The sequence below is a fragment of the Homo sapiens genome, chromosome 21, assembly GCF_000001405.40.
Source record: "Homo sapiens chromosome 21, GRCh38.p14 Primary Assembly".
NCBI classification, from domain to species: domain Eukaryota; kingdom Metazoa; phylum Chordata; class Mammalia; order Primates; family Hominidae; genus Homo; species Homo sapiens.
In genome coordinates this window covers 45,868,274-45,892,007 of record NC_000021.9, presented here as the reverse complement: position 1 = coordinate 45,892,007, position 23,734 = coordinate 45,868,274, and the positions used below count along the sequence as shown (strand labels likewise).

Sequence of the window (23,734 nt, the reverse complement as noted above, 5' to 3'; positions counted from 1 at the left end):
TTAGATTCTGACCCTGTGGTGATTTTAGGCCGGTGGTGCTCTGTGGAAGGCAGGCTGTGTGGACGTCCTGACTCAGGGGCTGCTCCCACTGGGTGACAGGCACAGGGCAATTGAGACAGCCCAGGAGGCTGAGGTCAAAGGGGCGCAGAGGCCCCGGGGCTGTGCAGGAGAAGGGGCCGGGCCAGGGGAGGAGGCGCTCAGAGAGAGCTCTGATGGCCCCGTGCAGTGGCACAGACCGACTCACCGTTTAACCTTGCGTGTGTAATGTGGTGTCATGGCCTTTTAAAGGTATCATTGATGGTTAATAGGCTGCACATACTTCAAGTCTACAGTGTGACAATCTTGCCCGTGTATACCCCTGGGGTGTCCCACAGTGGCTCACAGGAACCTGCAGTCCTTGGTCCCCTGTGGTCCGTGCTCCCACTCCACCCGCCACTGCCCGCCGACAGGTGCCCACTTGCGGTCACTATAGACTCCTGGACTTTCAGAAGTCGACACAAAGGGAATCATGTCGTAAGTATTCTTTTGTGTCTGGCTTCTCTTAGTATTTATAGAAGATGTATCCACGCTGCTGAGCATATAAACAGTTCTTTTCTGTTTAGAATTCCACCGTGGGAAAAAACCACCACTGGCTCTTCCACTCAACCAGTGAAGAACATTCGAGCTGTATGCAAGGCGGGATACACGAGTAAAGCTGCTTTAGACATTTGTGCACAGTTCTTCTCATGGAAGCACTTCCATTTCCTGCAGGTACCACCTAGGAGCACAACGGTTGGATCCTGCGGAAGCAGCACGTGGAACTTCCTAAGAAACTGTTCAAGACTGCGGCACGGCGGTTCCACTATCTACATTCCCCTCAGCAGTGCACAGAGTTCCAGGTTCTATTATCTACATTCCCTTCAGCAGTAAACAAAGTTCCAGGTTCTATTATCTACATTCCCCTCAGCAATGCAGAGTTCCTGGTTCTATTATCTACATTCCCCTCAGCAATGCACAGAGTTCCAGGTTCTATTATCTCCATTCCCCTCAGCAGTGCAGAGTTCCAGGTTCTATTATCTACATTCCCCTCAGGAGTGCACAGAGTTCCAGGTTCTATTATCTACATTCCCCTCAGCAGTGCACAGAGTTCCAAGTTCTATTATCTACATTCCCCGCAGCAGTGCAGAGTTCCAGGTTCTATTATCTACATTCCTCTCAGCAGCACACAGAGTTCCAGGTTCTATTATCTACATTCCCATCAGTAATGCACAGAGTTCCAGGTTCTATTATCTACCTTCCCCTCAGCAGTGCACAGAGTTCCAGGTTCTATTATCTATATTCCCCTCAGCAATGCAGAGTTCTAGGTTCTATTATCTACATTCCCCTCAGCAGTGCACAGAGTTCCAGGTTCTATTATCTATATTCCCCTCAGCAGTGCACAGAGTTCCAGGTTCTATTATCTACATTCCCCTCAGCAATGCGGAGTTCCAGGTTCTGTTATCTACATTCCCCTCAGCAGTGCAGAGTTCCAGGTTCTATTATCTACATTCCCCTCAGCTGTGCAGAGTTCCAGGTTCTATTATCCACATTCCCCTGAGCAGTGCACAGAGTTCCAGGTTCTATTATCTACATTCCCCTCAGCAGCGCAGGGTTTCAGGTTGTATTATCCACATCCCCCTAAGTGCACCGAGTTCCAGGTTCTGTTATCCACATTTCCCTCAGCTGCGCACAGAGCTGCAGCTCCTCCACGGCCCCGCCAACAGCTGGTCTGTTCAGCCTTTTCTGTGCTGCCCAGCGGGCGTGCAGTGTTGTCTAGTTGCAGGGTGTGGCCAGGCAGAACCCCTCCCCATGCTCTCATGCTGGCCTCATGACCTGTCTGCTCCATTCTCTCCCGCAGCAGAGTAGCTGCTGGAAACTGCCCCTTAGACAGCTGCGAGGCCACGTCTCCCACCCTGGCAGTGACAGACGCAGTCCCAGCCCCTGGCATGGGCCAAGTACTGAGGTCAGGGACACAGCACTCCTTACTGAGGGCTACTGGAGGAATGGGGTCATTGGCTGGAGCCACTGTCAGCTCCAAGACAGAGCAGAAACAGGCCTCCGTCTCGGAGCTACGCTGACTTCTAAAAGCTCCCTTTGGTTTTCATAAGTATCTTTTCCTTAAAGTCACACTGGAGAGAATCTGGGGGGATCAGAAGCTGCAGGTGAAATCTCCATGTACTTGAAAGCTGTTCCCTGGATGCCAGTGCCACAGGCAGATGGACAAGCACGTGAGGGCTGAGCAGCACTCACGGCAACAAACATCTGTAGCCACCGCAATGTACTGCCACAAGAGCCATGGCAGGGAGACTCAGGAATTGTTCAAAGGTCCCCAAGCTAGGGAAAGACGCAGCCAGGCCTGAAGCTCCCCGCCTCTAACTCCACAGCATCCTTTCCCAAGGGCGGGCTGCAGAAGAAGGGAGGAGGAGGCTGGCCGTGGCCCTGGCCATGAGGAGGGGAGGAAGGGGTGCCAGGCAACCACACTGCCTGCACCGTTGCTGTCTGCCCAAGGTGGAGACCAGGTTTCCTGCTCTGAGCTGCATCTGCCAGGAAGCACAGGTGCTGTCCCTGCATTCAGAGCTGGGCTGGGTCTTCACAATGGAGGCATCAGGGGAACAGTAGAGAAGACGGTCCTGACAGCTTCTAAGCAGGCCCCAGGCTTGATGTGATTTAACGACTTTTGCAGTCGGAGGAAGGCAAATCAGAGGCTGCTGGCCCGCATGCAGCTGCTGACGGCAGCTCGGGGCACTTACATTTAACAGCTCCTCTCTCCACTCCACCGTCTCTGAAGCCCCTGTGAGCGCTCCTGCCTGAACCCCCACTCCCACACACATCGCTCTTTGTCTCCACAGACGAAACAGACCCAGGATGAGGGCATCAACACAGCTCCAGTCATGCAACAGTGCACGGGCCAGAACGAAAGATTCCTTTCTTTACTTACTTGCTTATGGCAAAGTGGTATTGAGCCCATAAAGGTGTATTTAGGAAGCTAACATACAAGGGCTATTTAATGTGCAAACTTTCTAATAATTCCATGTATAGATACTGTCCACGTGTGTTTAATGTGCAAACCTTACAATCATTCCATGTAGATACTGTCCATGTGTGATTTAATGTGCAAACTTTATAATCGTTCCATGTATAGATACTGTCCACGTGTGTTTAAGGTGGAAACCTTACAATCATTCCATGTAGATACTGTCCACGTGTGATTTGATGTGCAAACTTTATAATCATTCCATGTATAGATACTGTCCACGTGTGGAACATGTTTATTCATTTCAGCTTCACTCAAAACCCACCAGGGATTTAAGAATTCAGCTCCAATTGCGGGTCTAAAAGCACTGAAGCTGCACACAGGAGGCTGGCGGGAGGAAAGCTGCCTGTGGTATCACGTGCTGTGTCGCTGTGGAGCAGGGCCCTGCCCCGGAGCAGGCATCTGCCGTGGGGAAGGTGCTGTGTGCGGTGGCGTGTGGGTGGCCCCGGCTGGGAGACCCAGGTGAGTGAGGGGCCAGTTCACCCTGCTGTGGCGTGGGAGGTGGGACTACAGGAGCAGGGTGAGCTGCTCTAGCCCCGGTTCCCACCCGCGGGCACCCATAAATGCAAGGAGCAGACTGAAATCCACTCTGGAGGTAACGCCAGTTATTAATTAATAACTTGATTATTTTAACAAATATTTCCTAGGCAGTCACTAAGCTTTAGGCTCTGTGCTATCCTTGAAGAAAAACAGGTAAGCAAGGTGCCTTCCCAAGAAAGGAGATGTCATTATTACAGTAACAGAAACAGGTGACACTCAAGAGCTGCAGGAGCAGGAGGAGGGCCCGGCTCAGAGCAGGGCTCAGCTAGGGCAGACCCCCCTGCCCTGTGCGGCCTCCCTGGGATTCGTACACGGCCAGGACAGGTACCCAGCAGAGTGTGAGGACCCCAGTGCTCCTGAGGAGAGACCCTGAGAACCGTTAGCCCCCTCCGGAAATGCCCATGGGTCAGCAGCGATGCAGGGCCATCCCCGGAGGACAGAGCTGCAAGCACAGCTGCAAGGGCAGGTCAGGGAAAGGCGGCCCAACCTTCCAGAGTCTGGCTCGTCTCTCTTCGCCGTGGGCTGGTACTAGACATCTATTGATAAGAGCAGCTGTGACAACAGTGAGGTCGTCACGAAGCCAGGGCTCTCCGGGAAGCTTAGGGAGTGCGTAGTAGTTGCAGCCTCTATAAAGGGCGACCTGGCAGGATGCACCAATAGCCTAAAATGCTTGCCAACTTTAAACTAGAAATTACGTTTGCAGAAATCTCTTCTCCCACAAAAGGCACAGACATTCAAAAAGTAGGTGCCCGGAATGGCGACGCTGTTTGCCTGGGTGCCCAGTGGAAACCAACACCAACGTGTGCACAGCTGGGGAACGAGGCCACTGGTGACAGTGTCCCCCATGCCACAGAGCTCCTGTCTGCTTCTGGCTGGGCCTGTCCTCAGCAGCTGGTGTCTGCTGATGCCTTTACTTGTCCCTCCAACTGAATGAGGTGTGGAGCCACCATCACCCTGTCTTACAGATGGAAGGACTGATGCTGGAGAGGCTGGAGGGCCTGCTCTGGTGACGCAGCTGAGCAGGGCAAAGCTGGCGCAGCCCCAGCAGCTCCGGCATCTGTGCTCTCAGATGCCACATGCACAAAAGGAGTGGCAAGGCTGCTGCTTCTGGGAAATGGAGCACACAGTGCTTCCCAATCCTTCCTGCTAAAAACAACAAAACAGCCTGGATATTGTATCCACAACAAACACAAGAAGACTGAAATGCGTAGGAAAGGCAGACTAGCCAGGGACCAGGGCACACAGGGAACAGCGTGGTGGTGAACCCCTGGGCTTTCTCTATGTCTCTCAGACTTGGAAGTGGAAAAGCTGGCAAGCCGGAAATGCCAACAGGCACAGACAAGAAAAGGGCCTCAACAAAAGTCTGCTTTCTGCAGCCGAAGGGTCAGTGAAGGGACAGCACAGTGAGGCTGGAAATGTTGAGCAGCAGCTCCTTTATTCCACCAGGCACCACGGAGGACACGGTGCCCCTCCCCACCCACGCAGCAAAGGCCGCGTACAGAGCCTAGACCTCCGCCCTCACCAGGCTGTCAAGAGGCTCCCGAACCCCATGCGGGGGTGGCTTCAGAGCAGGCTGAGCAGGGACAGAGGCTCTCATCTCCACAGGTGGTGAGTCCTTGCCCCCTGGTGTCAGTGGAGGCAATGCGGGGTCAGTAATGAGGGAGCCCCCTCCTCTGAGCAGGGAGGTTTCTGCACAGGCCTCCAGGGCCCCAGAGCTCCCACCCTTGCCCAGCGGCAATGAGGCCTCCTCCACACCTCACCACATCCTCTGCCCTTGGTACCCGGGGCAATGAGGCCTCCTCCACACCTCACCACGTCCTCTGCCCTTGGTACCAGCGGCAATGAGGCCTCCTCCACACCTCACCACATCCTCTGCCCTTGGTACCAGAGGCAATGAGGCCTCCTCCACACCTTACCACGTCCTCTGCCCTTGGCACCCGCGGCAATGAGGCCTCCTCCACACCTCACCACATCCTCTGCCCTTGGCACCCGCAGCAATGAGGCCTCCACACCTCACCACATCCTCTGCCCTTGGCACCCGCGGCAATGAGGCCTCCACACCTCACCACGTCCTCTGTCCTTGGCACCAGCGGCAATGAGGCCTCCTCCACACCTCACCACATCCTCTGCCCTTGGCACCCGCGGCAATGAGGCCTCCTCCACACCTCACCACATCCTCTGCCCTTGGCACCCGCAGCAATGAGGCCTCCACACCTCACCACGTCCTCTGCCCTTGGCACCCGCGGCAACGAGGCCTCCTCCACACCTCACCATGTCCTCTGTCCTTGGTACCAGCGGCAATGAGGCCTCCTCCACACCTCACCACGTCCTCTGCCCTTGGTACCAGCAGAGGCCGAGTGGAAAGCCTGGACTTTCACTTCTTGTTTCCCCTGCTGGAGAAGTATCAGAGGCAGCCAGCTAAACAGAAGGTTTATATAACCAGAGTCTCATAACGTAATATCCAGAAGGTCCAGATTTCAAAAAGAAAATCACCTGTTATACAAAGAACCCAAAAGATCTCAAACTGAATGAAAGACAGTGTCAGCCCCAGGATGACAGAGCTGTCGGAATCCTCTGACAAAGAAGTGAAAGCAGCCTTCATAAAAATGCTTCAGCAAACAAGCAGGAACACTCTTTAAACAAATGAGAAAACAGAATAGAATACCTCCACAGAGAAGCCAGTTCCCACCAAGCTAATGGGAGATGCAGGCAACTGAAAGGGAACGACAGAACTAGAAAGAACCATAACAGAGTGAAAGAGTCAGGGGAGAGAAGCAGGGAGCTGTGAGAAAAAACAACAGAAAGTACCCCGTCCCAACAAGAGGGAGAACACAGACCGAAGACACACAGATGGGGCCCCTGAGACCTGTGGGACATGGGGAGGACCTAACATTCATGTCCTTAGGGTACCAGAAAAAGAGAACAAAGGGGATGGGGATAAAGGCTCTTGAAAAAATAATGGCTAAAACTTCCCAAATTTGGCAAAAAGTAAAAACCTACATATTTGAGAAGCTGAGTAAACCCCAAACAGGATAAATCCAAGGAAATCCACACAAACACACATTGTAGTCAAGAGTCTAAAAACCAAAGGCAAAGAATAATTCTTGCAAGCAGCAAGAGGGACATGACCCCATGCTACAGGAGGGAGACAATGGATGGCGTGGATTTCAGGCGAGAAGCACGGAGGCCAGGAGGACGTGGCCCCGAACTGCTCAGTGCTGAAAAGGACAGAAGTGCCAACTGGAATGATATATCCAGTGAAAATAATCAGGAATAAAGACATTATGGGATGAAGGAAAATGAAGAGAAGTTGCTGCCAGCGTGCCTACGCTGGGAGAAGGCCTAAGTCCTCTAAACAGAAATGAAATAATGATGAAATCTTGGAATATCAGGAAGGAAGAAAGAACATAGTAGGCAAACATGTGAGTGCATAGAAAGGCTTCACTCTCGAGTCCTCTAAACTATGATTGATGACTGATGCAAAAATTACAGCATTGTCTGATATGTACAGAATGCTTAGGAAATATTTAAAGCAACTACATCATAAATGAGGGACAGTAAAAAAATTATAAAGGAAGTTACAGTTTCTTCCCTCCAACTGGTGAAATGTTGACAGCAGTAGAATTGGTAACACATATATGCCTGGGCAACATGGCAAAACCCTGTCTCTACAAAAAAATTTAAAAAATTAGCTGGGTGTGGTGGTGCCTGTCTGTGGTCCCAGCTACTGGGGAGGCTGAGGTGGGAGGACGGCTGGAGCCTGGTTAGTCGAGGCTGCAGTGAGCCATGATCGTGTCACTGCACTCCAGCCTGGGCAACAGAGCAAGATCCTGTCTCAAACATTATACATGCACACACACGTGACATATATGTATATTTAGATGTGCATGCATGTTGCATATGTGTATGTTATATATGTGTATGTATACATGTGTATATACATGTGCTACATATATATATTTGTGTGTGTATATATATGCTATATACTTAGTATTCAGTATGTGTGTATATATATGATATACTACCTACAGCAAGCACTAAAAAAGAAAGCCATACAGATATATACTCTAAAATGCTACTGATAAAATAAAATTCCAAAAAAATGTACACTGACTCACAGGAAGAAAGAAAAAACTAAAACCAGAGAAACAAAAAACAAAGCCAACAAAATTAAAAATGAGGCTGGGTGCGATGGCTCACGCCTGTAATCCCAGCACTTTGGGCGGTCAAGGTGGGAGGATCACTTGAGCCCAGGAGTTCAAGGCCAGCCTGGGCAACACAGGAATACCTAGTCTCTACAAAATATAAAAATAAATTGGCTGGGCATGGTGGTGCATGCCTGTGGTCCCAGCTGCTTGAGAGGCTGGGGTGGGGGGATCACTTCAGCCCAGAAGAGGCTGCAGTGAGCCATGATCACACTACTGCACTCCAGCCTGGATGACAGAGTAGGGCCCTATCTCAAAATAAATAAATACAAAAGATAAATAAAAGGTGAAATGGCAGATTTAAGCCCTAACATCTCAATACCGTAATAACTTTAAGTATAAATGGTCCAAATACACCAATTGAAGCACAGATGGGCAGAGTGGATTTAAAAATATGACCCCATCATATGCTGTCTACAGAAAACTCACTTCAAATAGAACAATATAAGCAAACTGAAGATAAACTAATGGGAAAAGGCGTATCGTGCAACCATTAATCAAAAGAAAGCAGGAATGGCTATATTAATATCGGAAAAAATAGACGTCAGAGCAATGAAAATGATCAGAGACAGAGAAGGACATTACATAATGATAAAAGAGTCTAAATAAGCAATAGCAATCCTAAATGTGTATGAATCAAATAACAGAGCTGTAAAATATGTGAAGCAGAAACTAATAGTAGTGAAAAGAAAAATATAAAAATCCACAACGACAGCTGAAGACTTTATTACTGTCAACAACTGAAAGAACCACTGGGCAGAGAATTAGCAAAGGATTTGGAAGGACTCAACACCATCAACCAACGGGGCCTAACGAACACTTCCGGAACACTCTGTCCAGCATCAGCAGAATCCACACTCTCTTCCTGCATGTACAGAATCTATACCAGGATAGACCATACCCTTGGCCATAAAAGAAACCTCAGCAAATTTAACAGAATTGAAACCGTAGTGTATGTTCTCTGACCACAGCTGACTCAAACCAGAATCAATCATGGAAAGATAACAAGAAAAGTTCCAAGCACTTGGAAATGAAACACATATATGAACAATCCAAGGGTCAAAGAGGGAATCTCAAGGAACATCAAAAAACACATTGACCTGAATGAAAATAAAAACACAGCATATCAAAAATCGCAGGACACAACTACAGCAGTGCTGAGAGGGAAACCTGTGGCACGAAACACACACATTTGAAGAGAGAAAAGCTTCCAATCAATAATCTAAGCACTCATTTTAAGAATCTAATAAAAGAAGAACAAAATAAATCCAAGTAAGCAGAGGAATGAAATACTAAAGACCAGAACTTGGCGCTGGTGTAAGAACGACATGCAGGCCGGTGGAGGAGAGCGGAGAGCCTGGCAGGAAACCCCGCAGCTGCAGCCAATCCATCTACAATAAAGACACCAGGAACACACACGGGGAAGGACAGTTTCTTCAATAAACGGTGTTGGGGAAACTGGATGTCCCTGTGCAGAAGAATGAAATTAGACCCTCATCTCACACCATCTATAAAAATCAACTCAAAATGGGTTAAAGACTTAAATGTAAGATCTGCAACTGCAAAACCACTAAGAAAAAACACAGGGAAAAATTCCACGACACTGGTTTAGTTAATGATTTTTTTTTAAATATGGCCCTCAAAGTACAGGCAACAAAAGCAGAAAGTAGAGAAATGGGATTATATCAAACTGAAAAGCTTCTGCACAGCAAACAACAGAGTGAAGAGACAACCTAGGGAACTGGAAAAAAAACTGCAAACCATACAACATCTGATAAGGAGTTAATACTCAAAATGTGTAAGGAACTCAAACAACTCAATAGCAAGAAAACAAATACCAGATTTTAAAAAAATGGCAAAGAAACGGAATGGAAGCTTCTCAGAAGGAGACATACAAATGGCTAACAGGTATATGAAAAAGTGCACAACATCACTAATCACCAGAAAAATGCAAATTCAAACCACAATGGGATATCGGCTCATACCTGTTAGAATGGCTATTATCAAAAAGACAAAAGCTAAGTGTTGGTGAGGAGGTGGACAAAAGGGAACCCTTGTACAGTGCTGATGGGAAACTTAGTACAGTCATTATGGAGAACGGTACGGAAGTTCCTCAAAAAACTAGAAATAGAACCACCACAGGATCCAGCAGTCTCACTTCAGGGCATATACCCAAAGTCACTATAGTGAGGAGACACATGCAGGCCCGTGTTGATTGTGGCACAACTCACAACAGCCTAGATATGGTGGAATCAGCCTAAGTGTTCATAGAGAGACGAACGGATAAAGAAAATGTCACACACAGACATACACACAGAAAGAAGCCATGTCATCTGTGTCACTGCGGATGAACCTGGAGGACATTATAACAAGTAAAATGAACTGGGCACAGAAAGACAAATACTGCATGATCTCACATGTGGAATCTAAAAAAGTGCATCTCACAGAAGCAGAGGGTGGGAGGTGGCTGTCGGGGACTGCGGGGGGTTGGGGGAAATGGGAGCTGTTGGTCACTGGCACAAGTTCAGTTAGACGGGAGTCAAACAGGCTGGGGAGCTGCTGTGTGGCACAGTGACTATGGGTAAGAACAATGTATACTTGAAAATTGCTGAGAGTGATTTTAAATTCTTTATAGAGATGGGGTCTCTCTATGTTGCCTAGGCTGTTGCCTGAGGTAGGCAGGTCACTGGAGTCTAGGAGTTCAAGACCAGCCTGGGCAAAATAGACCCCATCTCTACAAAATGTTGAAAAAATTAGTTGGGTGTGGTGGAGTGCACCTGTGGTCTCAACTCCTGGGAGACAGGTGGGAGGATCACTCGAACCTCACCACAAACAAAGGTATGTGAGGTGATGGATATGTTAATTAGCTTGATTTAATAATTTCACACACAAAAAACATGAACACATAGAATTCAGCAATATACCACAAGAATTACATGCTATAACCATTCTTCCTGTGATGCAAGGCTGGCTCAGAGTTGGAAAATCTGTCTGTGTAATCTACCTTATTAACAGACTAAAGAAAGCACACAATCATATCAATGCATGCAGAAAAGCCTGTCACAAAACTCCATACCAACTCACGATAAAAATTAAAATGCTCAGAAAAAAACAGGAATAGAGGGGAACTCGCTCAGCTTGATGAAGGCCAGCCAGGAAAGCAGCCACAGCTGTGGCCCGCAGCTGGCCCAGGCATGTCCACTCAGGAGCACTTGGCTGGGCATGAGCTGCCTGACGCTGCCAGTGAGCTTCTAAGCTTGGACTCACCCCGTGCTGAAGCCCCTGGGTACCTTCCCACTGCTGTGCTGTTTAACCCCGGCCCTGAGCCTCCCGTCCAGAGCCCAGCACCTACCCCCTTGGTCTTGTTTGTCACTGCTCCCTGCCCTCCCGCTGGCTCCCTGGCTTCCGTGGCAGGGACAGGGTGAGTTCTCCCACCCACTTATCAGGACCTTCTTCTGGAGGGTATTGCCTACCAGGCTGTACCTACAACCCCGTCTCTCCTGGCCCTGCTGCAGTCACCTGGGGCCACCCTGGCACCGAGAGGGCAGAGGGCACACGTGTCTCCTCCGTTCACCACTGAATCCCCAGTTCCCAGCACCACTCTTGGCCCACAAGGGGGCGCAGTATGTATTTAAGGATTAGACAGATTCACACCATGAGCACTGAGCCCAGCTCAATTTCCACGGCCTCGTGGAACGTTCTGAAATTCAGCGATTTCTAAACTCAATACTCAGAAGCACCGTAATCCTATTTTCTCCCACACCACCCACTCCTGCGTTTTTCATTCAGACAGTCACTGAGGGTTTGCTGGGGGTCTGCTGTGGGGGTCCCTGTGGCCCACAGAGGCGGCACAGGGCTGGGTTTGGGCCATGGCAGAAGAAGTTGTGTGGGGTCAGGACCGCGGCGCCCCAGGCGCTCCCCTCCCCTCCGAGGCCCAGGGCCAGCAGGGTAGAGCTTTCCAGGAGGGCAACTGGGGAACCAGGCAACAGTCCTGCTTTCGAAGGCTGGCCGTGACTTGCAAATCCACCAGCTCCCAGAAGAGGCCAGAGGAAAACCACTCACGACAGGAACGTCTTGTCAATAAAAAGGATGCAGAGAAAAATGCCACGAAACCAGGATGGACTCTCACGCCACACAACAAACGCAGACAGCAGAGAACTGCCACCGTTTTGCAAGCTCTTGAAACCCATGATTGTTTCTGTCCTTCCTTTATTTGAACTACTCCAATGTGAAGAGGCTTAGTTCTGTTTTTAATTTCATTGGGTTTGGGTCTTGATTATTTACTCCCTTCTGCTTGTTTTGTTTTCTTTTTTTAAAGTTTCTTCAAGTGGAAGCTTACATTATTGTTTGAAGACCTTTCTTCTTTTCTAATGGATGCTGTCATGCTATAAATTTCTCTAGAGGCACTGATTTACTAGTATCCTATAGGTTTTTTTTCATTTTCTCTTACTTCAAAGTATTTTCTAATTTTTTTATACTTCCTCTTTGACTAGGGCATTATTTAGAGGTGTGTGTTTTGATTTTCAAGTATTTGGAAAATTTCCAGTTATCTCTGGTTATTGATTTATAGTTTAATTCTACTGTGGCCAGAAAATACATTTTATATGATTTAAATTATTTTAAATTTGTTAGGCTTTAGTTTTTTACATGGAATATGACCTGCCTTGGGGAACATCCCATGTGCACATAAAAACCACGTGTACTGTGGTGTCTGCATTGTCTGCAGGTCTCGGAAGCTCCATTCATTTCTCCCAGTCCTTTTTCTATCACTCGGCATGGATCATTTGTACTGAGCTGTCCTCGTGTTTGCTGACGCTGTGCCCTGTCACTTCCATTGTTATTGAGTCTACATCATGAATTTTTCATTCTGGTTATTAGATTTTTTAGTTCTAAAATTTCCATTTTATTCTTTAAATCTATTTCCTTGGCCAGGCGCAGTGGCTAACGCTTGTAAACCCGGTACTTTGGGAGGCTGAGGTAGGCAGATCGCTTGAGTGTAGGAGTTTAGGACCAGCCCGGGCAACACAGAGAGACCTCATCTCTACGAAAAATTTTAAAAATTAGCCAGGTGTGGTGGCTGCACCTGTGGTTGCAGCTGCTGGGAGGCTGAGATGGGAGGATCGCTTGAGCCTGGGAGATGGAGGCTGCAGTGAGCTGAGATTGCACCACTGCACTCCAGCCTGGGTGACAGAGTGAGACCCTGTCTCACTCAAACAAACAAACAAACAAAACCTTCGCTTTCCCTGCGTAGAGTTCCTATTTTTCCATTCATTTTGAGAGGGCTCACCCTTCCTCCTGGAGCACGGTGGCGCAGCTGCTCTGAAGATCTTGTGGATCCTCCACCAGGAAGGATCCCAGGTTGGTGTGTGTTGCTCATTTCCCAGCTGGAGAGGCTGAGGGTTCCTATTTCTTCCTATGCTGAGTACGGACGTCGAGTTGTCCTCTGGTCTGTTTGAATATTGTCGTAACACTCCAGTTATCACTTAAATCTTATGCAGAACCACGACATTTTTATTTTATCGGGCAGTGGTTCTAGTTAGTTCCAAAGCCTCTGTGGGCTGTGGCTCCAATGTCTGTTCTGTTCTGAGAGCTTCTGCACCGCTGTTTAGCTCTGTGCCACGTGTGTGCCACCCAGTGCCCGGCTGGGACCTGGGGGCCATCAACCCTGCAGTCCCCTTGTCAAAGCCTTTGCTGTACTGTCTGTGGTCAGACCCAGACGTAGAGAGGGCAGGCAGTGCCCAGGAATGCACACACAACTTCATGAAATCCCCTTTTCAAACTCGCCCCTCTCTGTGATCTCCAGGGCTTTCTGACCAGGGCCTGGCTTTTGCCACAGTGCCAGAAACTTACTGCACTTGCATCCTGTCTAAGGCCAAGAGGCAGAAGGGCAGAGACACGAAACAGCCCCGGGAGGACCCCCCCACCCCGGAGGGCAGGGATGGGAAATGGCCCTGGGAGGGCCCCTTCATTCTCTGAGACCACAGGTCCTCTGGTGGGAGAGAAAAGTTCTGCCCCTGTGCGTTGCCAGCCTGTCAGGCTGCTGTGCCCTCAAAGCCACTGCTGCCACAGGATCGCCTGGGGGTGAGGATGGGAGAGACTGGAAGGTGGAGCAAATGCCAACCAGCAGGAGCTCCCTCTCCATCCTCAGACAGAAATGCGGAGCTTCTCTGTGGCTGCACTTCTGGGTATGTGGCTGCCTGGAGTCCAGGCCATGTGGCAAGGGCAGTGAGGACACAGGAAGCTCCCTGCTGGGCTGGACTCCTTTCCAGCCTGCTCCCACTGCCGCCTCCCGGTCCCAAGGGAGCTGCTCCAGCACTCTGTGCAGAAGTCCCAGCTGTGCTCAGTGGGAGGGGCAGGGGGGTGTACCCCCACTCCATTTGACCAGAATCAAAGCCTCATTTAATTTTTTTTTTTTAAGACGGAGTTTCACTCCTGTTGCCCAGGTTGGAGTACAGCAGCTCACTGCAACCTCCACCTCCCAGGTTCAAGCAATTCCTCCGCCTCAGCCTCCTGAGTGGCTGGGACTACAGGCGTGCCACCATCACACCCGGCTAATTTTTTGTATTTTTAGTAGAGATGGGGTTTCATCACGTTGGCCAGGCGGGTCTCAAACTCCTGACCTCAGGTGATTTGGCTGCTTCGGCCTCCCAAAGTGTTGGGATTACAGGCGTGAGCCATTGCACCTGGCCATTTCATCTTTATATTGATTAAATTGGCAAAATCTGTTTAAAACTGGTACCACTATAAATTCTGATAAATTTGCCAGTTACTCTTTTTTTAAAAAAATATTCAAATCAACAGAATGCTAGTAAAATGAATACTGCCCTAGTAAGAAGTGATGTGTAATGAAACAGCGGCCACACAGGGCCACAGCCCCATGTTTTTCCATATATAAATCCAGGCTGTCCTAACACAGTAGGGCGAGCTCTTCCTCCGTTTTACACGAGGTGACACAGTGCGATGACCCTGAACTGTGACCAGCTGGCTCCAGGCCTAGGTTCCCGACCACCAGAGAGGTAATCCATCATCTATTTTCATGCCAAAAATAACAGTGAATGACATCCCGTCAGACCCGAAAGGAAGAGACCCACGTTTGAAAGTGTCATGTGAGGCCCAAGTTGTAAGGCTTGTTTGCTGGGGGATGGATGAATAGGTTTGGATATTAACATAGAGATGCCTTGGAGTGTAGAAGGGCGGTCACACAGCTGTGAGTGCGGCTGGCAGCAGGCGCCTTGAGCTCTCTCCTGTGTGCCACTGCTTGCCCCGAGAAGGCGGGAGAAGCCTTGCCAGCAAAGCGCCATCTGGGGTCCTCGCAGCCGCAGCGAGCGCTGTCGCAGCCAGCGGCTCTGGCCATACCCCCGTTAGCTGTGCTCTGTCCAGGGCTGCACTCACGGCCTCAGCTGTCTGGGGGATGTGACTGTGGGAGGGAACACAGTGCGGGGTGGGTGGCAGCAGCCCCTACTTGATTTATCCTGTTTAACAGCTCAGTGCCTGCATCAGGCTGCACGAGGCCAGGACGGCGGAAATGACAGGGCAGATTAGCTGCCACATTCTCCTTGAGAGCCTCACATGCACTTCATGTCCCTGAGGCTACCCAGGGCAGGGGAGGCTTCTGGAATTTCATGCTCCTGCCTGTCACAGGCGGCATTCGGAGGCCATCCAGGGCTTACACAGCCTGGCCTCGGCGAGCATTCTGAACAGCCTGCTCCCCTGCTACTCAGCGTCAAGGCAGACAAAGGTGCCAGTGGGGAACAGTGACCGCTCACCTTCCCCTGCTCCAGCGGCCCAGCCACACTGGTCTCATGTCTGGAAGATGCTGAATTTTCCTGACCATAGCCAGGCTCCCTCATGGTGCCAGTGTTCCTTAGTCCCACCTTTGGGAACCACGTAAGAGTGTGCCTCCTACAAATGTTCCAATTCTTTCAAATGCTCATTTCGGGATTCGTAATATCTCTGATGAGAGACAGGGTAGGCCACCCTGAGAGCTGAGTCAAGTCTGGGCTCTGACACTGTCCTGGCTGTGATGGATGCACGTGGACTCGCCTGCCTAAGGGCAGGTTCTGGCCCCTGACCGCTCCATCGGTGCCCTGGTGCTGCACACAACATCTCAGGCTCCACGGGCCCTCTAGTCTTAGTGGGAAGCTGAACGCAGCAGGGACATCCTACTGGCCCATGAAAAAGGGTCCAGCGGGAACATTCCTCACCCCACACCTTTCCTCAGTTCCCACACGGCACCGGGGATGCGGGGCCATGGGCACAGCCATTGTCTGCAAGTGGCTCACAGTCTGGTGGAGAAATTGGCTGTGGGCTGGAGCAGTGGGGGATCCAGACAGCCGAAAATCAACATCGGATCCCACCTCGCCCTCAAATGTGTGTCCTATATAGGTGAAAGATCCAGAAGTGAACAGTAGAAGTTTAACCCTCTTGGAAGGAAGCAAAGGTCAACCTCCCTGTAGCCTCAGGGTCAGTGGGCATGAGGAGGAGAGGCTGCGAATGAGCGGTACTTCCCAGCTCACTGGGAGGGCATCAGAGACAGTATCTGTCCTGCTCTCGCCCTGGACAGGGAGGGACGTCACCCTGGCCATTGCTGGTAGATGTCCCAAGACCCCTGGGGGAAGCTGGTGTGGGCAGGCTGAGCCAGGGGGAAGCAGAGGCACTGCAGCCTGCCAGAGTGGCCCCAACTGACTCTGCACTTTCCCAGGAGCCCAGTAGCAGACCTGAGTTTTTAATCGAATTTGAGTTTTCTGACGTTGTGTGACTTGACCCAATGCATCCCCATGGTGCAGGGGGTGAAAAGCAGCAGCAAGGCGAGTACTGGGCCTGCTGACCCCACAGTTTACTGGAAAAGATAATCCCAGGATGTGGCAACCTGGAACAGCTGCCAGCACATGTGCAGCAGAGAGTCAGCCGCAGCACGCAGCACGGAGGGGCCCCCAGCCCCAGTGAGTCAGCCGGAGCGCGCAGCACGGAGGGGCCCCCAGGCCCGGTGAGTCAGCTGGAGCGCGCCGCGTGGAAGGGCCCCCAGCCCCGGTGAGTCAGCCGGAGCGCGCAACATGGAGGGGCCCCCAGCCTGTCTGGCTGCCGCTGGACGCCCTGAGCCAGGTAGGAGCCTGGAAGGAAGGTGCCGCGTCAGGGGCGACCGCGCTGCTCGGGCTCAGTGACTGGCTTTGTGAGGAGGCTCTTTTGGGAGCTGGGCAGAGCTCCCTACTTGGACAGGGGGCTGGCCCAGGCACTCCTGCAGCACTCCTGCCTCCAGCCACTCTCGGTTTGGGACCTGCATGCTCTCTCGTGAGTCTAGGGCCACTCCAGAGCTGGTGACACAGCCAGAGGCCAGCAGCAAGGAGCAGCAGCACAGGGGACACGGGCAGCGAAAACCACAGGGACCGACACAGTGACGGGAAGGGATGCCTTCACAGGGTGAGGGCGCTCCACATCCCCACACCAGCCAGCAACGGAAAATCAAATCTTAAAAGAAGACAGCATTGGAGACCAGCCTGGCCAACATGGCAAAACCCTCTCTACTAAAAATACAAAAAAGTAGCCGGGCGTGGTGGCAAGTGCCTGTAATCCCAGCTACTCCGGGAGGCTGAAGCAGGAGAATCGTTTGAACCTGGGAGCCCGAGGTTGCAGTAAGCCGAGATCGCGCCACTGCACTCCAGCCCGGGACGACAGAGCAAGACTCTGTCTCAAAAAAAAAAAAAAAAAGAAAAGAAGAAGAAGATACCATGTATAAGGCCATCAGAAAGAAGGCAAAGAGTTGGGATAGACCCAACAAAAGATGTGTGAAACCTCTATGTAGAAATTATAAAGCATCATAAAGAGCAATTAAAGAAGATCCGAGAATTAGAAAACATATTTTTCATTGACTCGAACTCTCCATAATTTAAAATGTTAATTCTCCCAATTTTGATCTACAGATTAATTCCATAGACAAGCTGATTTTAAAATGTACAGGAAAAATTAATCAGTTCAAGAATATCCTGAGGAAAAAGGTCAAAGTGAGCCGATTTATTTTACTAGAGATCTAGACATGAAGCTGCAGCAATGTAGCTCATTTGACAGTGGCATAAGAATAGACAAGCGGGCCGGGCGCGGTGGCTCACGCCTGTGATCCCAGCACTTAGGGAGGCTGAGGCGGGTGGATCACTTGAGCCCAGCCTGGGCCGGGCGTGGTGGCTCACGCCTGTGATCCCAGCACTTAGGCAGGCTGAGGCGGGTGGATCACTTGAGCCCAGGCTGGGCAATATCGGGAGACCTTGTTTCTACAAAATATTTGAAGATTAGCCAGGCACGATGGCGCACGCTTGTAGTCCCAGCTGCCTGGGAGGTGGAGGGTATAGTGAGCTGAGGTTGCACCACTGCTTTGCAGCCTAGGTGACAGAGCGAGACCCTGTCTCAAAAAACAAACAAACAAGAAAACCCAACGACAACAACAACAAAAACCAGACATGTAGACCATGGAATAATTCAACAGAAGGTCATGAAAAACAGGTGCGCACAGACATGGGCAGAGCGGAAGGCCTTTCAGTACCCAGCGCGTGGTCCCCTGCACGGGCAGGTGAATAAAATGAAACCTGAACCCCCTCATCAATCCACCCTCACGGGGACTTGGGTGCTGTGCGTCTCAAGGGGAAGCATAAACGACACAGCGTCTGAAAGACAGCACAGGACACCATTTACACAGAGCTGGGAGGCAGGGGAGATTTACACAGAGCTGGGAGGCGGGGGAGAAGGGCAGAGTTTTCAGACACCAGAAAGCTCTGACTGTTAAGAAAAAGGCTGAAATGATAAACCACGTTAGAATTAAGATTTTGTTTGGGTCAACTGACACTGTGAGGGGACAGAAATACAGGCCACAAGTGAGACAAGGTACATGCAGTTGTTTAATGACAAGGGGTTCCTATGCAGAGAATATTTCTGGGTTGCTCACAGAGGAGTGGGCAGAGGTCTTGAAAAGGCACATCCCAGAGGGACACCCTCATGGCCAATCCGTGATCCAAAGGGCAGTGGAGTGAGCGCATCAGCCAGGAGGTAGAGGCAGGAGAAAGTCGCAGCACACACCCCACAGCCCCCAGAGGTAAAGACACAGCCCAACAAAAATTGCTCCAGGAAGCGTGGGAGAGCACATGACACCAGATGACCCGCCCCGCTCGCCCGTATCACCGAGGAAAGCCACTCGGTGCCACCCAGGAAGGTTGATGGTGGGCGCATGCTGTGACCCAGCAATTCCAGCTTCTACCTAGACAGAAATTCCAACTCATGTTCCAAATCAAATATGAACAAATGCAATCAGCAGTATATATGAAGACTAATCAGACAATATCTTAATGGGATTCATTTTAGGAATGGATGGGCATCGTTATATCACAAATTCTGTCAACATAATTGATAAATTAAAGGAGAACCCCAATAACCATACAAATAATAATAAACAACACACTGATAGAATGTTTACCACGCGCCAGGCACAGACAGCCCTTGCCACAGCCCTCCAAGCACCGAAGCCACAGGCCAGCTGGACCATGCCGACAGCCACACAGTGGCAGGGGCACTGGGACCGCAGCCCCAACGCGGGCTCCGGGGCCTGGACACTGAGCAGGCTGCTCCACTGTAGAAGCTCGGAGGGCACTTAGTACTGTCCACAGCCATCACCATCAAATAGAATTGAATCCAATCCCGCAGGAATGGAAGAAAACAGCTCAGGGAAGGTAAAGACAATTTACCAAAACACAAAAGCACAGCACTGGTTCCAAATCTGTGTTCTTGTTCCCACTTTTCACAGAAGTGGGTGGGTACAGCACGGAGCTCTCCTTCCAGCTTTCATTACAGCAAATGGTCACAGGAGGTAACTGAGGAAACTAGGAAAAATGCGGGACCAGGGACGCCTTTTAGACACACGATAAAATGGGGCATTGCACCGCTAGCATGAAAAGCAGACGAGCCTCCGATTACTTGAGAACCACCTAAGATGTTTAAGGAAAAATAAAGCCCACCTGGCTATGGAGAAAAAGCCTGGGTCTACACGGGTCTGCATGGATGTGGCACTGAAGAGGGACCCTCACCCCAGGAGAGCCCTCATCCTCGTCCACACCCCTCTCCAGCTCACTTAAGGCGTGCTGGATGCCCAGGCGGAGCATGTTGGAGCATCAGCACACAGCTGCCGCCAGCACGAACGGACGCTCTCCCAACCCTCTGGGGTGTTTGCTCACTCATGCATGTGGGCCCCCAAATCGGAGCCCAGCCCGTCCCCTGGGGGGACGGAGGCCTCTGCTCCGGGAGAGTTCTCCAAAGCCTGGGACCTTCCACATCCCAGGGGAACTGTCACCGCAGCAGGAGACGCCACTGCACCCTTCCAGGAGCTGCTTAAGGAAAACTCCCAGAGACAGGCATGGAAGCCACCTTCCCTCCATGGAACTGGGGCTCTGAGGAGAGAGGCAAGTCCGGGGATGCTTCTTCCCACAGAGTCAGAGACCGCGGCACCAGAAAGATCGTGGCCGCCATGCTGGCGCCAAGGGCGGGGAGAGGGCAGTGGCCCTGGCCTCTTTTCAGCTGGTTCTGCATTCTTGTGGCCCGGTTAGGCTCAGGGACTGCAGCTTCCAGCAAGGATTGAAGATAAGGGGCCACTCGCTTCTCCTTCCACACCCCACGCCCCTGCCCAGGCTGCAAGAGTGAAGCAGAACCTGGCAGGGGAGGGGGAGGAAGCCCAGAGCCACCTCTGCAGTATCACCCCTGCCCCTGGGGTCCTGGAGAGGAGGTGTCTCCCATGAAGGTCTCTGGGTGCGGGTGGAGGGAGGAGGACTCAGGCAAGCCCCGCGTAGCCCCTTCCCCACCCCAGTCACAGGGCACCAGCTCTCCAGGGCACTGGGCTGCATGGCCTTCCTGGGGGTTACTGGGCTGCACGGCCTTCCCAAGGGGGTGCCCGTCTCTCCCGGGCACTGGACTGCACGGCCTTCCCTGGGGGGTGCCTGTCTCTCCCGGGCACTGGACTGCACGGCCTTCCCTGGGGGGTGCCTGTCTCTCCCAGGCACTGGGCTGCACGGCCTTCCCTGGGGGGTTCCCATCTCTCCTGGGCACTGGGCTGCACGGCCTTCCCTGGGGGGTTCCCATCTCTCCTGGGCACTGGGCTGCACTGCCTTCCTGTAGGGGGTTCCTGTCTCTCCCGGGCACTGGGCTGCATGGCCTTCCCCAGCGGGTGCTGGGCTCTCCCTGGCACTGGGCTATACAGCCTCCCCTGGGGGCCCCCATTTCCTGGCTGGTCTCATGAGGGGTGTGAAGACCTGGTGTGAAGGCCGGCCAGGTGCCACAGGGGTTCTGCGCATGAGAGGGCTGACTTCCCTGTCCTAAGAAGACTCACCATCCCCTCTGCCTTCAGAACAGGATGAGTGTGGTGGGAACAGAAACAGGGTAACACTACTCACAAACTTGCTAGCTGGACACACGCAGCTGGGGAAAGAGGCCAGAGGCCAGAGGCACTGAGTGGCTTGGCCCACGGTCGCGTGGCAGGCGGTGGGCAGTGGCAGTAGGGTTTGGACCCTCTGGTCCTCCCAGTCAACCCTGCTGTGCACAGGAAGAGCCCGGGGTGCAGGGCCAGGCCTCATCACTTCAGACCCCAGGAGCTTCCAGCCAACCAGAGCTGCTCCCAACCGGGTCTGGCCGCACAAGGCTGCAGGCGGTGGTCATGAGTGTCTCCATGGAGGGCTGGGGAGGAGGGAAGCAGGAGACGCAGCTCCCGGCCTCCCTGCTGCCCTAGGAAGGGTGTGCATGGGGCTGGCAGGTCCCGTGGATGCATGAATTAATGTTTTTAGGAGACTCATTCGTCATCACAGGTAAGATGATAGACCACTCTATTATGACAGGAAAATAAGCTAAAATTAGATTAGCAAATCATTTCTTTCAGCGTCTTAATATTTTAAGAATATGACAAATGGTATCTGCTAAAAATATCTCCTTAAAAAAGATATAAGCTAAAGCAACTAAAACCATTAAGAATCTTCCCAAAAGAAAAAAAATCACTAAGAAAAACCCAGAAGATAATAAATGTTGAGTAAAACTTTAAAGGGAATAAAATGAGTGATACAAGATAAATAAATGATAAAAGTAGTTAAAATAGATTTATGAAGATTAAGATAAAGCGATAACATTACAACTAAAAAATAAATGAACAAAAATAAATTCAATAAAAATAAAGATAACTTAGATAAGAAACATACACAAAAAATTAAAGTCTGAAGTGTGACTAACAGCTAAAAAAATCCGACTAAAAAGCTAAGCACAGTGTGAGTCAGTGGTTGGGCCAGGCACCACTGGTTTGAAGGCACTGGTGCTAAACCCCAGTGCGGCCACAGCACCTTGGTGGGCCCTGCCTGCGAGGGAATGCATACGCAGCTCTGTGATCAGGGCTGCAGGGATCCAAAGAGGTGCCAGGTGTGGTGGCATGCAACGTTGGTGGCGAGGGGACAGGCCCTGGGGCCCTGGGGTCACACTCCCCAGGCCCCACTGCCCTTCTGTCCACCGAGGTCTCCACACCCATCTCCTCCCAGTGGTGGAGCTGCCCTGGCCACTGAGGAGCTGCACTGACAGCGTCCTGCAGGCTGAGGGCTGCAGCCCACATGCATGTTGACAGCATGATGGAGGAGGGTGGGGACGGCGAGAGGAGCAGGAGCAGGAGCAGCGGTCACCCCAAGCCTCACCTGCACAGTCGAGTCCCAGGGAGCAGCCACCTGCCAGGGTCCTCTGCTGACCTCGGGTCACAGTAGGGGCCCAGGCGGAAGAGAAGGAAGGAAGAGAAGGGGGAGCTGAAGATGACCCCAGGGTGCCCGAGGGGTCTGGGTGGGGTCCAGGGTGGGGCAGCCTGATGGGGGGAAGCAAAGGCCACAACCTTCATACCTTCAAGCAGCCACGACTGCAGACGCTGCCCACTGCCCAGCCAGATGCTCCCGGATTAGACCGAATCCTCCCGCAGCAGCATCCCAGCGATGTGCGCAGCTTCAATCCGCTGACGGCCTGTTAATCCCACAACCTCCCATCAGCCTGCCTCATCTAATTCATGTTTAATGGGTTTGGTTTGTTTTTATTGCATTTTAGTGTCTGCATTGGAGAAAGTTACAGATACTTGGGTGAAAGACAAGCTCTGTATTTCTACTTGCCAGAACGCACACCTTTATTCATAAACACAACCCTAAATACCGCACAGGTAAAATCCATAAAATAAACCTCCAGCTGGGGCGTCTGAATTGTTGAATTTGTTCTTAGTGAATTCCAATGGGAAGAAGTGAGTCTCGTGAGCTTTGCTGTGGCAGGATCTGAAAGAGAAGTGTCCACCGAGCTGCCCAAAGCCAACCCCACGTCCTGCGGGGCTCCTGTCAGTACCACAGGGGCAGGAAGCCCTGGCTTGGGTGAGGACGTCCGCCATGGCTCCCTTCCCTGTCTCGGCCACCCCGTCCTAACGCCTGCCTCCCGGGTTCTTCCCAGTGCTGTGGGCTGCAGTTTCCGGTGACGGGGGGACGTGCAACGGGGATGTGGACAATGTTTCTGGAAGTCTGGCCAGGAGGCGGGCCCAGGGACAGGCTCGCAGAAATGCCCGCCAGACCCGCCCAGGCTGAAGCAGGGAGCTGGGCAGGCATGGGGACCCCGAGACCCACGTGGATTCCTCAATGCGCGGGCCAGACGCCTTAAGGCTCAGTGGCGATTTAAACTGCAGAAAGTCAGACACACACATTTGTAGGTCACCCAGACCTGTGGCTTTTATTGACTGTAACAGCATCGGAATCCTTTATTTAAAAAAAAAAAAAAAAAAAAAGAACAAATAAGTCAACACAAACACCAGCGAAGCTGTTCAGGCTGAGATTCGGCGGCGCAGAGCAGGATGTGGGCCGCCTCCAGGCAGCCGGGCAGGCAGGACCCTGGGGCTCTGAAAACCGCGCAGACAGAGGAAGCC

At 51.5% G+C, this 23,734-nt stretch overlaps 1 protein-coding gene across 26 annotated transcripts in view, besides 3 other annotated features; it reads right to left on the bottom strand.

Moving 5' to 3' along the window:
• PCBP3 (poly(rC) binding protein 3) overlaps window positions 1-23,734 on the bottom strand; it is a 298,726-nt gene that overhangs the window by 50,443 nt on the left and 224,549 nt on the right. The window contains exon 6 of one of the 26 annotated variants that reach the window (NM_001382276.1): window positions 22,684-22,800. The gene's annotated coding sequence lies outside the window, so the exon portion shown is untranslated. 26 annotated transcript variants of the gene reach the window in all.
• Window positions 1,339-2,211: an enhancer, noted in NCBI's record as "H3K4me1 hESC enhancer chr21:47309711-47310583 (GRCh37/hg19 assembly coordinates)". NCBI's record gives its function as "activates a minimal SCP1, AML or CMV promoter by ChIP-STARR-seq in primed H9 embryonic stem cells {active_cell/tissue: H9 hESC(primed)}" and the evidence as "EXISTENCE:reporter gene assay evidence [ECO:0000049][PMID:30033119]".
• Window positions 2,212-3,085: an enhancer, noted in NCBI's record as "H3K4me1 hESC enhancer chr21:47308837-47309710 (GRCh37/hg19 assembly coordinates)". NCBI's record gives its function as "activates a minimal SCP1, AML or CMV promoter by ChIP-STARR-seq in naive H9 embryonic stem cells {active_cell/tissue: H9 hESC(naive)}" and the evidence as "EXISTENCE:reporter gene assay evidence [ECO:0000049][PMID:30033119]".
• Window positions 10,629-11,433: an enhancer, noted in NCBI's record as "H3K4me1 hESC enhancer chr21:47300489-47301293 (GRCh37/hg19 assembly coordinates)". NCBI's record gives its function as "activates a minimal SCP1, AML or CMV promoter by ChIP-STARR-seq in primed H9 embryonic stem cells {active_cell/tissue: H9 hESC(primed)}" and the evidence as "EXISTENCE:reporter gene assay evidence [ECO:0000049][PMID:30033119]".